Source organism: Homo sapiens, chromosome 5, assembly GCF_000001405.40.
Source record: "Homo sapiens chromosome 5, GRCh38.p14 Primary Assembly".
NCBI lineage: Eukaryota > Metazoa > Chordata > Mammalia > Primates > Hominidae > Homo > Homo sapiens.
In genome coordinates, this window is record NC_000005.10 from 177,511,286 (window position 1) to 177,524,150 (window position 12,865).

Consider the following 12,865-nt stretch of genomic DNA (forward strand, 5'->3'; position numbering starts at 1 on the left):
CTATGACAGCTGGCCAGGGAGACCAGAGAATCCAAGCACTTCTCCTTGGCCCGCCAATGTGGTCCCTCCTTGAGTCATAAATTCAGACAACCCAGTGGAGAGACCCAGAGTCCCCAGAGGCGGGCACCAGCTCGGTGGCTCCTTCCACAGCCAAGTACCAGCAGGCCAGGTGTTGGCAGTGCTAGTGGGAGATGCTGGGGCCTTGCCTCAGAGGGGCTCCAGAGGTCAGAGGTGACGTCTGTCCAGGAACCAGGGGGCGGATGAGGTGAAACACAGAGGCAGGGCCAGGGCTGGGCTAGAGGTTTGGGCTTTAATGGCAGCTGGGGTAAAAGGAAACAAAAACAGTAATTCTGAAGAGCACAGGGAACAGGCAGCCAGGACCAGCCTGGCCCATCCCAGGCCAGCTGAGCTGAAATGCTGATTCTGTCCAGGGGGCTGCTGTATGTGTAGACTGGTGGCAGTCTTGGGGACTGAGGCCTCTTGGAGAGAAGGGAAGACTGTCGGCTCAGAAGTCCATGGAGCTGTGGGCCAGGTAGTCCTTGCGACCGATGTTGCTGACCTGCTTGGTCTGCATAGCCTCGAGTTTGGGGCAGTCAGTGATCCGATGACCCAGGCCCCCGCAGAAGGCACAGCCGCGCTCTCCTGGGGGAATGGGGACAGGGGTCAGCCAAGTCAAGGACCAGGATCCATGCCCTGGACTTCGGGCCCCCCGTTAGGCACCCTCGGTCCACCGGTTTCACGTTTCTGACTTCCAGCACCCCTCCTTGCCACCTGCCGGCTGGGGACTCGGGGATCCCGCTCTGCAGTCACCTCCAATGTCCAGCATGGACTCATCCCCGCAATGCAGCACCTGCAGCACGGGCGGCACCTTCTGCTTGGCTTCTAGCAGCAGCGCTTTGAGGTCCATCAGCACTGACTCATCTGGGGGAGGAGTGGGGAAGCATCAGGGCCCATCCTGGGCTCTGTGGCCAGAACCTGGGTGGCCACAGGCAGGGGACCCAGGGAACAGCTAAGGTGGCGCTGGTAACAGACTCACCACACGCTTTGTTGATGAAGGTAGTGGCGATGCCTGTGTTTCCCGAGCGCCCGGTGCGGCCAATCCGGTGTACTGCAGAGAGAAGGACAGAGTCTCTGGCCCATCGCTGGACACTAGGGGCCTGGCTTGGCCCTTTTCCGGCCTAACCCATGCCCTTGGGCCCCAGGCTCTTACCATAGTTCTCAATCTCCTCTGGCATGTCATAATTGATGACGTGCTGGATGGCAGGGAAGTCCAGGCCCTTGGAGGCAACGTCTGTGGCTACTAGGACATCCTTCTTGCCCTCCCGGAATGCCTCGATGGCCTTAGTCCGTTCCTCCTGGTCTGGGGAGGGTCAGGCAGACACTGTCAGAGCCACCATGGGACAGGGGAGTGGCAGGCCAACCAGGCAGGGGAAGGCATTAGGTAAAGCACTGCTACTGCAGCAGGGTCCAAGCCAGTGCTTGCACCACCCTGACCTTTGCCCCCATGGATGGCTACGGCCTCAACCCCCTTGAGCAGCAGGTACTCGTGGATGGCGTCCACGTCTGCCTTCTTCTCTGCAAAGATGAGTACCTGTCCGGAAAGACCAACTCCAGTCAGGGGCTAACTGCCTGGGCACCCACCGCACCTCCCCTGGCACTCTGTCCCCTCCAAAGCCCTCCCTGGTCCTGGGGACTCTGGCCCCGGCCTGGCCTGGCTGCACTCACAGGCGGGGGTGTCTTCTGCAGGCACTCGAGCAGGTACACCATCTTGGCCTCCTCCTTCACATATTCTACCTCCTGCCACCACAAAGATCAGGTCAGGTGATCTTGAGATTAGGCTTACCCGCCACAGCCCTGCCATGGCCCGTCATCTGGACCAGGAGGTGACCAGAAGCCTCTGGCCGCCAAGGGCTGGTGCCCTAAAAATGGCCCTGGTTAAGCGTCAGGGGCTTTGAATGAAACCCCCGGTTCCCACAAGGTGGACCCCCGGCTCCAATCAGCTTCAGGGAGACTTGTCAGATCCAGCCCCCACAGGTGAGAGACCGCCCATCAGGAGCACCTGCCCACCTGGATGACATCCAGGCTGGCAGCCCCAGCGCGCCCCACATTGATGGTCACAGGCTTTACAAGGGCACTCTTAGCAAAGTTCTGAATCTTCTTCGGCATGGTGGCACTGAAGAGCAGGGTCTGTCGCTGGCCCTGAGGAAGAGGGGGGCTGCGACCAAGGGCACACAGGGCTGGGCTGAGGGGCATGGGGTCTGGGGAAGCTGAGCAACTGAGACACAGCCCACAAAGTATGAGCAGTGGGTTGGGGTGGCCAGGGGCATGGGGTCCCTGCAGTCTGATGTGGCGTGCAGTGGGGGGCGGTGCAGGGTGCCCTGGCCGGGCGGGGGCGGCACCTTGAAGTAGGAGAAGATGGTACGGATGTCACCCTCGAAGCCCATGTCGATCATGCGGTCAGCCTCGTCCAGGGCCAGGTAGCGACAGATGTCTAGGCTGACCATCTTCTTCTGCAGCAAATCCATGAGGCGCCCCGGGGTGGCCACCATCATGTGTACACCGCTGGGGACCAAGGAGAGACCCTGAGGTTGGGGCCACTGGCCTATCACCTATCTAGAGGCAAGCAGGCACCCTGCATCTGCTCTGCTCTCTGTCCTCCTTCCTATTTCTTTGTCTGTCCCCTTCTCATCATTCCCACCACCTGCCCTATGTATAGCACACAGCTCTTTCCCAAGGCACTGCAGCCATCTTCACCACCGCTCGGCCTGGCGCGCCTTCCCCCTTCTCCTGGGTCAGCCTCTCACCCAGAAGCGCTGTCATCAAGCTCCAGAGGCTTTACTCTGGGCTCGCTTTCCTGGCCCACTGGCTTCACCTTTTCTGTGCTCACCATCTCCCTAATACTCAGAAGTCCGTGGAGGAAGGCCTCCGGGATGGGGTCTGGCCCATCTGTGAACAGAGGGCCTGGTCCAGGGCCTCTGGTGGTCTGCAGAGGACTGCACAGCACTGAAAGGACACAGGTGCCGCTGGGATCCAGCCCTACCCCAGTGCCTCAACCTCCTTGACTGACCACTGAATGACCCTGACCTTCCTGGGCCGTCCGCCTCTGTGCTTTCAGCCTGGACTGCCCCTCTTCCCAATTCAAATGTCACCTTCCCGGAAAAGCCTTCTCTGAGCTCCCACCTCCCAGATGTCCCCAGCAAGGTGGGCCATTCCATCTGCCGTGCTCCCACAGTACCTGGCCACATCCCTCTGTCCTCCCCCAACTAACCTCCCCATTAGACTGGGAGCTCCTTGAGGGTCGCACTCACAGCAGCCCTCTGTGAAGATCTGTGGAGTGGCTAAGGTAAAGGGTCCTTTAGCTTTTCCACAGACTCGCAGGTGGCAGAGGTGGGGGGCAGGGAGCGCCAGCACTCACTGTCGGATGGTCTCCATCTGCTCTTTCACGGACATGCCCCCAATGCAGAGGGCGCAGCGCAGGAGTGGTGAGCTGTCCTCCTGCAGCAGGCGGCAGTAGTACTCCAGGATGCCATGGGTCTGCCGGGCCAGCTCCCGCTGCAGGCAGAGGGACAAAGGCTGGCACCAGATGGCAGCCCCAATCTCTGGCCTGCCCTCCAGGCCAGCCTATCTTACCGAGGGGCAGATGATGAGTCCATAGGGCCCCTCGCGCTTTGAGAAGGGTAACCTCTTCTCTTGTTCCAGGCAGAACATGATGACGGGCAACGTGAACACCAGTGTCTTGCCTGAACCCGTGAAAGCGATGCCTATCATGTCACGGCCAGATAGACTGTTGGGAGAGGATGACCCGAGGGCCAATTTCAACAGAAGATGAAGGACACCTAGCCATTGCTCCTCCCTGTTCCAGCCCTCCTCAAGGACCCCAGGTCCACAGTCCACACTCACATGGTGGGGATGCCCTGGATCTGAATGGGTGTTGGGTGGTGAATGCCTTTCTTCTTCAGGCCTCTCAGGATGGCTATGAAAACCAACCGACATCGTCTTCATGACTCACAGGTACTTTCTCAGAGCCCCAAAGCCTGTAAAACTGGCACTACCCCTACAAGTTGCAGATGATGAAACTGAGGCTCAGAGAGAGAGAGAGAGAGTGGAAAAAAAAAAAGAAAAAAAGAGACTTGTCCAAGGCCCACAGGCTAGGTGCAGCCAGGATTTGTACCCAGTGTCTATGCCCAATGGCACTTTCCTCCTGAAGCTTTGTAACAGCAGAGAACAATGAACACGTACAGCTGAGGCAACAAGGAACCTAAAGAAACTCCTCCTCAAATCCCTCCAGCCCCAGTGACTGGATCCAATGCAGATGTGGCTGAGCTCAGTGGGAGCCAGGACATAACCTCACAGGCATTTGATTATAAAAGTGTGGTATCTCTCTCCAGCCCCTGACTACCTGCAGGAAACTTCATTTCCTTGAAGCTCTTGATGGGTGGTGGGATACCGTCTCCCTCCACCAGGATGTGGTATTTCTTCCGCACGCGCTCATGTCGCTCTTCAGACATGCTCAGAACATAACGGGGTGGAGTCCAGCTGTGGATGGGTAACAGGGATCAAGAGAGCCCTGGGAATAGCTGGCCTGGGAGCATCCCTGCATGTACCATCCTAAGCAAGGGCAACTGCAGACTGTACAGACATACCTGGTTTTGATGGGGTCATCATACGTAATGCCCTTAGCCATCTCCTTCACTGACATCAATGCTGAAGAGAGAGACATGGCTCAGGGCTGGCTCCTGCTTCTGAGAAGCCAGATCCCTTGAGATATAACATGCCTGGGGCTGGGAGGAGAAGACTCAGTCCACCTTCTCACTATCCTGGCTACAACCATACCTCGGCCCTCGGCAACACTCTCCAGGATCTTCTCTTCTTCCTTCAGCTGCTTCTCCTTGGCAGACTCTTTGCGCGCTGAGAAAAGAAGTGGAAGATGTCAGACAGATACCAAAACGGTGTACCAGGCTCAGCTTCTTCTTTCTCGCCCAGGCAGTGCTGCCCAGCCCACCTTCAGCCTTCTCTTTAAGGTGCTGGTGCTGATCCAGGAGGCTGACGTTGGACTGAGGGCCTAGCGGGATGTCGTCCTCATCTCCCCGGGGTTCACTACCGCTGTCCTGCTGCTCTTCCTCCGCAGCTCCCTTGCGTCTTCGCTGCAGCAGCTTCTGGAGCTGAGGTTCCACCCGGGATCCACAGATAGGATGGGCATGGAGTCCACAAGGTCAGCGTCAGGATCCTGGCTTTGGGGCGAGGATCCTGTGCCCGAGGCGCAAAGCTGCCCTACCCCTCAGATCAAGCCGTCGGTCCCTCGTTTGTCTGGGGGCCGCGCCCTGGTGTACTGAAGCTCACTCCTCAGACTGCCCTCCTCCCCACGGAGGCCGAGGCCACGCCCGCCCCCTGCGACCCCGCGGTCACGGCCCCATCCCTCCCCGGACGCGTGCCCCTCACCAGTAGCTGCCGGCGCTGCCGTAACGGCACATAGGGCACGTAGTCCTCGTCGTCCTCATCTTCCGCCTCGGAGCGGCTTCCTCCGGCAGGCACCTCGTCGGTGCGAGCCCGCTGCAAGCACACGCCAGTCAGGCACGGCCTGCTCCCCTCTTCACGCCCGCTCCCACACGCGCGGGGTCTCGCCTCTCTCCTACCTTCCGTTCGGGTTCCGACTCCTCCATTCTTTGCTGCACGCATGCGCGCCACGGCGAAACCCCGCCTCATCCTTGCGTGAGACCCAATCCGATGTGAAGAGGCGAACGACGGCGCGTAGGAACGACCTCGGAGTTCCGGATCGCGCAGAGGGACAAATTTGTTCCGGAGATACTATCGCACGGCGAGGCATGGACGCTTTCATGGGTGGTTACGCGACAGTTGCCAGGACCGAGGGCGAAACCGGCTGCAAGGCATTGTGGGACATTGGAGGACTTGGAATATGCGCTAGAAGGCTCAATCCAAGCCCATTGGAAGAGGAAGACGTACGCAGCGGAGACAGCTGATCCGGAGTCGGGGCGGCCTGCCAGGTGCCCAACCTCTCCCAGAGCATGGCGTCTTGGGCACGCCCCTGCCGGCGGACAGTGCGTCCTCTAGGGCCGGGAGCTGCGGGCCGAGTTCGCGTGGGCCCTGCGCTTTCATCCCTGCCGGGGACGCCGGGGTTGCGGGATAAACCGCTCGACACACCCTGCCTCCCTGACTGCGCCTGTGTGACACATACGTTCACTGGTGGGGCACGCATCAGATACGGATGGCAGTGGTTTTGAAGTGGGAGGCCCTGTATAAATGTAAACGGTTATTACTGTAAATGCTCTAACAGAGCTGCCTGGGGGGCGCTTCCAGGGAAGCGTGGCAATCTCAGGCCGGGAGAGGAGAGGCGTCCTGGGCCAGGGCGCTGCAGGAATACAGGTCTGGCGATGTGCAAGTACACAGATTCACCAGGCAACAGCATTGCGGCAAGGGTGGGATGGGGAAGCCAGACCTAAGGCCAGAAAAGGAGATTGCGACCAGAGCATGCCTGCTGTGACTGTCAGAGTAAGTGGTTTCAACTTTATTAGAGACTTCTAAGGAATGACTTGGTCAGCTCTGTGCTTTCTTGCCTTCAAGAGTGTGTGCTGGGCGCTGGCACTGCGCTCAAGCAGATGATAATCAAGACACATACCTGGTGTGCGAGGAGCTTATGTAGATTGAGACTAGAAATATAGACAGATAACTGGTCTTAAAGAGAAAGATCCTAAGACAAGGTACCGCTTTTCGAAGTGTCATAGTTTTCACAGTACAATGGCCTCTTAGCTGGGATGTGAAGGATACACAGGAATTCATGAAGTCTTCTTTAGTAAAGAAAGCTTAGGCTGGGCACAGTGGCTCATTCCTGTAATCCCAGCTCTCTGGGAGGCCAAGGCAGGAGGATCGCTTGAAGCCAGGAGTTCAAGACCAGCTTGGACAACATAGCAAGACCCCATCTCTATAAAAAAAATAAGCTGGTGCTTACTGCCAGTCCCATGGTGGGTCTCAACCTGGGAGGGATGGAGGAGGACATGGTTTCTGGTCCTGCTCACAACACCCAAATACATGGCAATCTCAGGCCGGGAGAGGAGAGGCGTCCTGGGCCAGGGCGCTGCAGGAATACAGGTCTGGCGATGTGCAAGTACACAGATTCACTAGGCAACAGCATTGCGGCAAGGGTGGGATGGGGAAGCCAGACCTAAGGCCAGAAAAGGAGATTGCGACCAGAGCATGCCTGCTGTGACTGTCAGAGTAAGTGGTTTCAACTTTATTAGAGACTTCTAAGGAATGACTTGGTCAGCTCTGTGCTTTCTTGCCTTCAAGAGTGTGTGCTGGGCGCTGGCACTGCGCTCAAGCAGATGATAATCAAGACACATACCTGGTGTGCGAGGAGCTTATGTAGATTGAGACTAGAAATATAGACAGATAACTGGTCTTAAAGAGAAAGATCCTAAGACAAGGTACCGCTTTTCGAAGTGTCATAGTTTTCACAGTACAATGGCCTCTTAGCTGGGATGTGAAGGATACACAGGAATTCATGAAGTCTTCTTTAGTAAAGAAAGCTTAGGCTGGGCACAGTGGCTCATTCCTGTAATCCCAGCTCTCTGGGAGGCCAAGGCAGGAGGATCGCTTGAAGCCAGGAGTTCAAGACCAGCTTGGACAACATAGCAAGACCCCATCTCTATAAAAAAAATAAGCTGGTGCTTACTGCCAGTCCCATGGTGGGTCTCAACCTGGGAGGGATGGAGGACATGGTTTCTGGTCCTGCTCACAACACCCAAATACATGGCTCTTAGTGACCCTGTTAGCTCCCCACATAACCTCGAGTTGGTTTTAGGAGCGAAAACTAAATTTGGGGCATGGAGTTTGGACACAAGTGTGTCAGGGGCATTTTGGGAAAACTCATTGTATTAAAATCCAAATTTACAAACCAGATCCATTTCGGGGGATGAGGTAGTTTGCTTGACTTTACAGAAGAGTTCATTATCCTCTTAACTCTCAAGCCCTCAGCTACATGTCCCACCCCCACTGGAAAATCAGATCTAATTTATAAAAAACTCAATTTACCCCCAACTTCCCCTGACTGTGAAGTCAGTGTGAGGGGCCTCGATGGCCCAGGCTACAGATCCATGAAGGCCTCAGGGTCTTTCCTAGACCTCTTCTCACATCCAGATGCACAGAGACCATCTTCAACCCCTCCAACTCACCCATCTTGCAAAGAGGGAAACAGGAAAGAGTGGGGAAGGGGCTGCCCCAGGCTCACATACCAGAGACCTCCCAAAAGGAGAAAAGGGCACAGATGCCATAATCATACCAGTCTGCGCTCAATGCTAATCAGCCAGACTAAGTTGAGCTGAGTCACTTTCCTATCGGCTTTAGTTTCCTCACCTGTAAAATGGGACAATAGCACCAAACTGCTGATGCATGGTGCATGCTAGGGTTAGTGACTAAGGGAGAGCCCATGCTTCTGAGCACACCCTCAACTCCCTCCCCGCCCAGACCCACAAATCACCAACATGCCAACTCTGTGTCCAAATGTTGCTTTATCTTTCGGCACGAAAGATCTTCACAGTATCAAAAGTAAAGAATTGGAAAAAAACAAAATAAAAACAAAAACAAAAAAACCAAACACAAAGAGAGCAGTGTTGGGCCAGCAGTACCATCAGCCCTGGCCCTTAGGCCAGCCCAGTCCACGGGCTCTGAGTGTGGAGGCTGCGTAGCACCAGGAAGCGGCTCTGCTGAGGTCAAGGGGCCCCAGCACAGTGTGGCATCCGTTCAGCTTTTGGTTGGTCCAGGATGGTGGGGAGCACAGAGGGTCTTGGACGGGTAGGTGGGGCACACGGAGGGAAAAATTATACGCCTTCAGCTGGCAGTCAGGGCCTCAGGACGCCCTGAAGCAGCTCAGCCTGGGCAGGGCCTGAGAAAGAAAAAAAGAGCAGAATCACAGTAAGCAATGAGCCATGCTCCAGCCTCCCCATGCCACTTGGGTACCCATGGGTCTCTGGTAGCAGAAACAGCTGGCTGCTATTTTTGTTCCCTGGGCTGAAAATGTTGAAGATTCCCTGGATCACCTGTAGCAGAGGATGCAGGTTAACGGGTTGGGAGACAGAGCCCCAGTCCCAGGATCCTGACAAGGTGGGGGACAATCCTTGAGTAGATCCAGCCTTTGGCACTTGCTGTCCATCAGCAGGGGCTGGGAGGCCAGCTGTGCAGCTGTGCTCCTGCCTCTGACTGTAGGTGCACAGCCCGGGGGAGGGTGAAGAGGCTCAAAGGAGAGCGCTTACTAGGGGGTGGGGAGAGGGGCATCTTCTATCTTGGAAAAGAGGCCAGACCAGGTGAAAAAGGGTCAAGAGGAGGCAGTGGAAGGAGACAGTTGCATTTGATTTCTTGAATGACAGAACTGGGCTTGTGGGAGGAAATGCGATCTCTTTTCTCTCAGTAGGGATAACAGATGAAGTGCCTGGGGTTCCTGCTACTCCTGGTTCCCATGGAGGTGGAGAAGAGGCAGGAGGCCACCTTGGATCTGGAAGATACTTCTGGGGCTTGTGGGCATCTCAGTTTGGCAAAGGGGGCTGACTGAGCCCAACCCCTTCAGAGGAGAGGAGGACTAAAGTGAGTGTAAAGAAGACAGTCTGGACTCTGGGGCAGCACAAGGGTCACAGGGAGCCCCAGCTCTGAAGGCTGTCCTGGCTGCAGGCTCTCTGAGCTGCCCCTGGGGAGCTGAGGGTCCAGGAAGTTTGCTGCTTAGGCCCAGAGAGGAGCTGGCCTGGCACTGGAAAGAGGAGAAAGACAGGTGGGGCCATCATGGGGGAAGTGAGTTGTTTGTGAGCTCAGTCTGCCTGCCCCAGCCTTCCAGTCTCCAGGACAGCTGTGTGGTTGCCAGCCGGAAAAGGCCTGACCCCAGGGACACAGCTGAGGGTTGAGATATGAAACTGCAGAGCCACTCAGCCCCCAGCCCAAGGTCTGCCTGCTAGCTGCCCTTCTCTTCATCAATAGGGTTCCAGGCCCAGTGCCTTCTCCAGTTGTCTGTTCCCAGTCCAGATCATCATCTGGTACATCATTGTTTCAGACAAAAGGACCTGTGTGGGTGGCTGGGAGGGGATGCCAATGCCATCTGGCACCCAGGTCTCTTCCTCTAGGAGGCACTGTGGCTACCAATATCCTCATGGAGCTTGCCCTGCTTTGGGTAGCCCCCATCAACTCCTCCATGCCTAAATGACCCACGATGTTCACTCAGGGCTGGCCCCTTCTTATACTGCTTCAGCTGGGAAGTACCTTGGTAGCCTACACTGAGGAGCCCAGGGCAGGAAGTGGGACTTGACACAAGGACTGATAACATCAGGGGTGAGGGCAGCCCCATGGGTCTGATGGCTACCTGGGCACTTTTGAAATCAGCTGGTTAAGACCCTGATGGTTATGCCTTAGGAGATGCCAGTCCAGGAAGGGGACCTTCAGGAGCATGGGCAGCAGGGCCCAGGGAGGAGTAATAGAACAGAGGCCTACAGGTGAGTGGCTGCGGGAGGAGATGGGGCCTTGACCTTTGGAGGCTGTAGCCTGCCATTGCTGTGAAGATGCAGACAGAAGCCAGGGATCCCATGCCCCAAGTCCAACTCCCTGTGCCCCAGAGCACAGAATGGTCTGGTGAGCGTACAGAGAGGGTGGCCAAGCACAGGGAGAGGCAGTGGATGTAACTCTTGGGGTCTCTGTACCTCACTGAGCTGTGCTAGGAGTGGTTTTCTTGAGGCTGAAGTTGGTCCAGTTCACAGCAACTTTCTGACGAGTCTGCTTTGCAGAATCCAAACAGAACCTGTTGGGTTTGGGGGACACATGAGAAGCACAATCAGAGGTTCATTCTTTTGCTCACTGGACTCCTAAGGTACCATGTCCCCATCACTAAGAGACCAGGTTCTCTACAAAACCTCTTTGGCTCTCAGGTGCTAGGGTTTAGCAGGCATAGGAGCTTTGCTGGCTTGGGGGCTTCTGGATTGGGCCCAGGGAACTATGTATGAAGACAGTGAAACTGCCTTGGGATTCCAGTTCCTCCTCATCTGGTGTTTGATTCTCTAGCTCTGCTAGGCTGGCTTCCGTCATTCCCTTAAGTACAGTCGTCCCTCTGAATCTGCTGGGGATTAGTTACCCAGATACCAAACTCTGCAGATGCACAAATCCCTTATATAAAAATGGTGTAGTATTTGCATAAAACCTGCACTGCTCTTCCCATATACTTTTTTTTAAAATTACTATTTTTTTTTTAAATAAGAGATAGGGTCTCACTATATTGCCCAGGCTGGTCTTGAACTCCTGAGCTCAAGTGATCCTCCCACCTTGGCCTTCCAAAGTGCTGGGATTACAGGTGGGAGACACTGTGCTTGGCCTTCCCACATACTTTAAATCATCTCTAGATTACTTAAAATACCTAATACAATGTAAATGCTATGTAGTTATTATATTTTTATTTTTATTTATTTGAGACAGAGTCTTACTCTGTTACCCAGGCTGAAGTGCAATGGCACAATCTTGGCTTACTGCAACCTCTGACTCCCAGGTTCAAGCGATTCTCTTGCCTCAGCTTCCCAAGTAGCTGGGATTACAGGCGCCCGCCACCACGCCCGGCTAATTTTTGTATTTTTATTAGAGACAGGGTTTCACCATGTTGGCCAGGCTGGTCTAGAACTCCTGACCTCAAGTACCTCAAGTGATCCGCCTGCCTTGGCCTCCCAAAGTGCTGAAATTACAGGCATGAGCCACCACCTGTAAAAATACGTATTTTTTTGAGACGGAGTCTCGTTCTGTGGCCCAATCTCAGCTCACTGCAGCCTCCACCTCCCAGGTTCCAGCGATTCTCCTGCCTCAGCCTCCCGAGTAGCTGGGATTATAAGCACGTGCCACCATACCTGCCTTATTTTTCTATTTTTAGTAGAGACGGGGTTTCACCAACTTGGCCAGGCTGGTCTTGAACTCCTGATCTCAGGTGATCCACCCGCCTCGGCCTCCCAAAGTGCTAGGATGAGAAGCATGAGCCACCGCGCTTGGCCAAAAATACTAATTTTTAAAAAATTTGCATTATTTAGTAATGTATTGCTATTTTTTGTGTTTTGTTTTTTTTCCTGAATATTTTTGATTGCAGATATGGAGGGTGACTGTATGCCGTGTTTCTTTCACCCTAATCTTTTGTACTCACTGGCCCCCTTGGCATGAATACCTTTTCATCTTATCTGGCCAACTCATTCTTACTCTTCAGGTTTCAACTTGGTTACCACCTCTCCTGGGAAGGCCTCCTGGCCAGCCCCCACCCCTTCTATCCTCCCCAACTCTATGCCATTTATCAGTAGGCTGCATGTTCATGGCCAGACTCCTGGTCTAGACTGCTTCATTGACCTCAGCCCAGGCAAAGCAGAGAATGTGCAAGTGAAGACACAAAGCAAATAAAGCTGGAAAAAGCCCTGGTTCTTGGGGCCTGACATGCCTCCTCCTATCTCTTGCACCTTCCCAGATGTGCCATCCTGCCCAGTGGCTCCGTGGGTTTTCAGCAGGCAGGCTGGTGGGAGAGGGCCTGGGGGGGCGGTGAGCCTCCCCAAGGGGTCAGGGCCAAGGGAGCAGGCCTTTCTGAGGCTTGAGGCACAACACAGGGCTTGAGTGTGGGCAGGACCTGGAGTCCTCCACAAGTGGGAGAGCAGGCAGCCCACACCTACCTCTTAAAGTACTCCACCTCTCGGTCAGTCTCATCCATCTCCACCCCGTCCATGTCCTTGGGCAGGAACACATCGTCTAGGAAGACACAGCCAGGAGGGCTCAGTGCCCATGGCCAGGCCTTTGGGGTTATGCTCTGGGGGCAGCGCTGTCTACACACAAAGGCTGCCCCTCCACCCCGTGGACTGGCTGGGGT

The 12,865-nt window shown here is 55.3% G+C and overlaps 2 protein-coding genes across 22 annotated transcripts in view, besides 2 other annotated features; both read right to left on the reverse strand.

Moving 5' to 3' along the window:
• Positions 292 to 5,676, reverse strand: DDX41 (DEAD-box helicase 41). Of its 3 annotated transcripts, none has more exons than NM_016222.4 (17): positions 5,634 to 5,676; positions 5,440 to 5,550; positions 5,003 to 5,162; positions 4,834 to 4,908; positions 4,644 to 4,704; positions 4,400 to 4,536; positions 3,901 to 3,973; positions 3,631 to 3,784; positions 3,416 to 3,552; positions 2,400 to 2,562; positions 2,068 to 2,199; positions 1,726 to 1,797; positions 1,495 to 1,591; positions 1,211 to 1,360; positions 1,037 to 1,108; positions 811 to 921; positions 292 to 642 (listed from the first exon to the last, which is right to left on the reverse strand). In NM_016222.4, the coding sequence occupies exons 1-17, from the start codon at positions 5,658 to 5,660 to the stop codon at positions 506 to 508; spliced, it is 1,869 nt and encodes a 622-aa protein (NP_057306.2). In that variant the 5' UTR covers positions 5,661 to 5,676; the 3' UTR covers positions 292 to 505. The 3 variants fall into 3 exon arrangements, with proteins under 3 accessions (NP_057306.2, NP_001308759.1, NP_001308661.1); NM_001321830.2 differs by having other exon boundaries at positions 5,003 to 5,231; NM_001321732.2 differs by having other exon boundaries at positions 5,003 to 5,550.
• Positions 4,918 to 5,742: an enhancer, noted in NCBI's record as "H3K27ac hESC enhancer chr5:176943204-176944028 (GRCh37/hg19 assembly coordinates)". NCBI's record gives its function as "activates a minimal SCP1, AML or CMV promoter by ChIP-STARR-seq in primed H9 embryonic stem cells {active_cell/tissue: H9 hESC(primed)}" and the evidence as "EXISTENCE:reporter gene assay evidence [ECO:0000049][PMID:30033119]".
• Positions 5,771 to 6,040: an enhancer, noted in NCBI's record as "active region_23728". NCBI's record gives its function as "activates an Ori minimal core promoter by ATAC-STARR-seq in GM12878 lymphoblastoid cells {active_cell/tissue: GM12878}" and the evidence as "EXISTENCE:reporter gene assay evidence [ECO:0000049][PMID:35858748]".
• Positions 8,503 to 12,865, reverse strand: part of FAM193B (family with sequence similarity 193 member B) — a 34,776-nt gene continuing 30,413 nt past the window's right edge. For 15 of the 19 annotated variants that reach the window (XR_007058608.1, XR_427804.3, XM_011534572.2 and 12 more), the window contains 3 exons: positions 12,672 to 12,747; positions 10,689 to 10,786; positions 8,504 to 8,896 (listed from right to left, as the gene is read on the reverse strand). Coding sequence is in view for 16 of the 19 variants with exons in the window: in XM_011534572.2 (XP_011532874.1) it covers positions 10,690 to 10,786; positions 12,672 to 12,747 (173 nt within the window). In the remaining 3 variants the exon portion in view is untranslated. Of the gene's footprint in view, positions 8,897 to 10,688; positions 10,787 to 11,873; positions 11,981 to 12,671; positions 12,748 to 12,865 lie in introns of those variants that run through there. The other 4 variants (NM_001366498.1, NM_001366499.1, XR_007058607.1 and 1 more) reach the window with 4 other exon arrangements.

Bases quoted from the DNA above. Each gene is read 5' to 3' on its own strand.
- DDX41 (NM_016222.4), bottom strand. From the start codon at position 5,660: ATGGAGGAGTCGGAACCCGAACGGAAG. The intron at 5,163-5,439 runs GTGAGGGGCACG...GTGGAACCTCAG, and splicing joins GGCAGCGCCGGCAGCTACTG to CTCCAGAAGCTGCTGCAGCG. The intron at 2,200-2,399 runs GTGCCGCCCCCG...CCTCTTCCTCAG, and splicing joins CCATCTTCTCCTACTTCAAG to GGCCAGCGACAGACCCTGCT.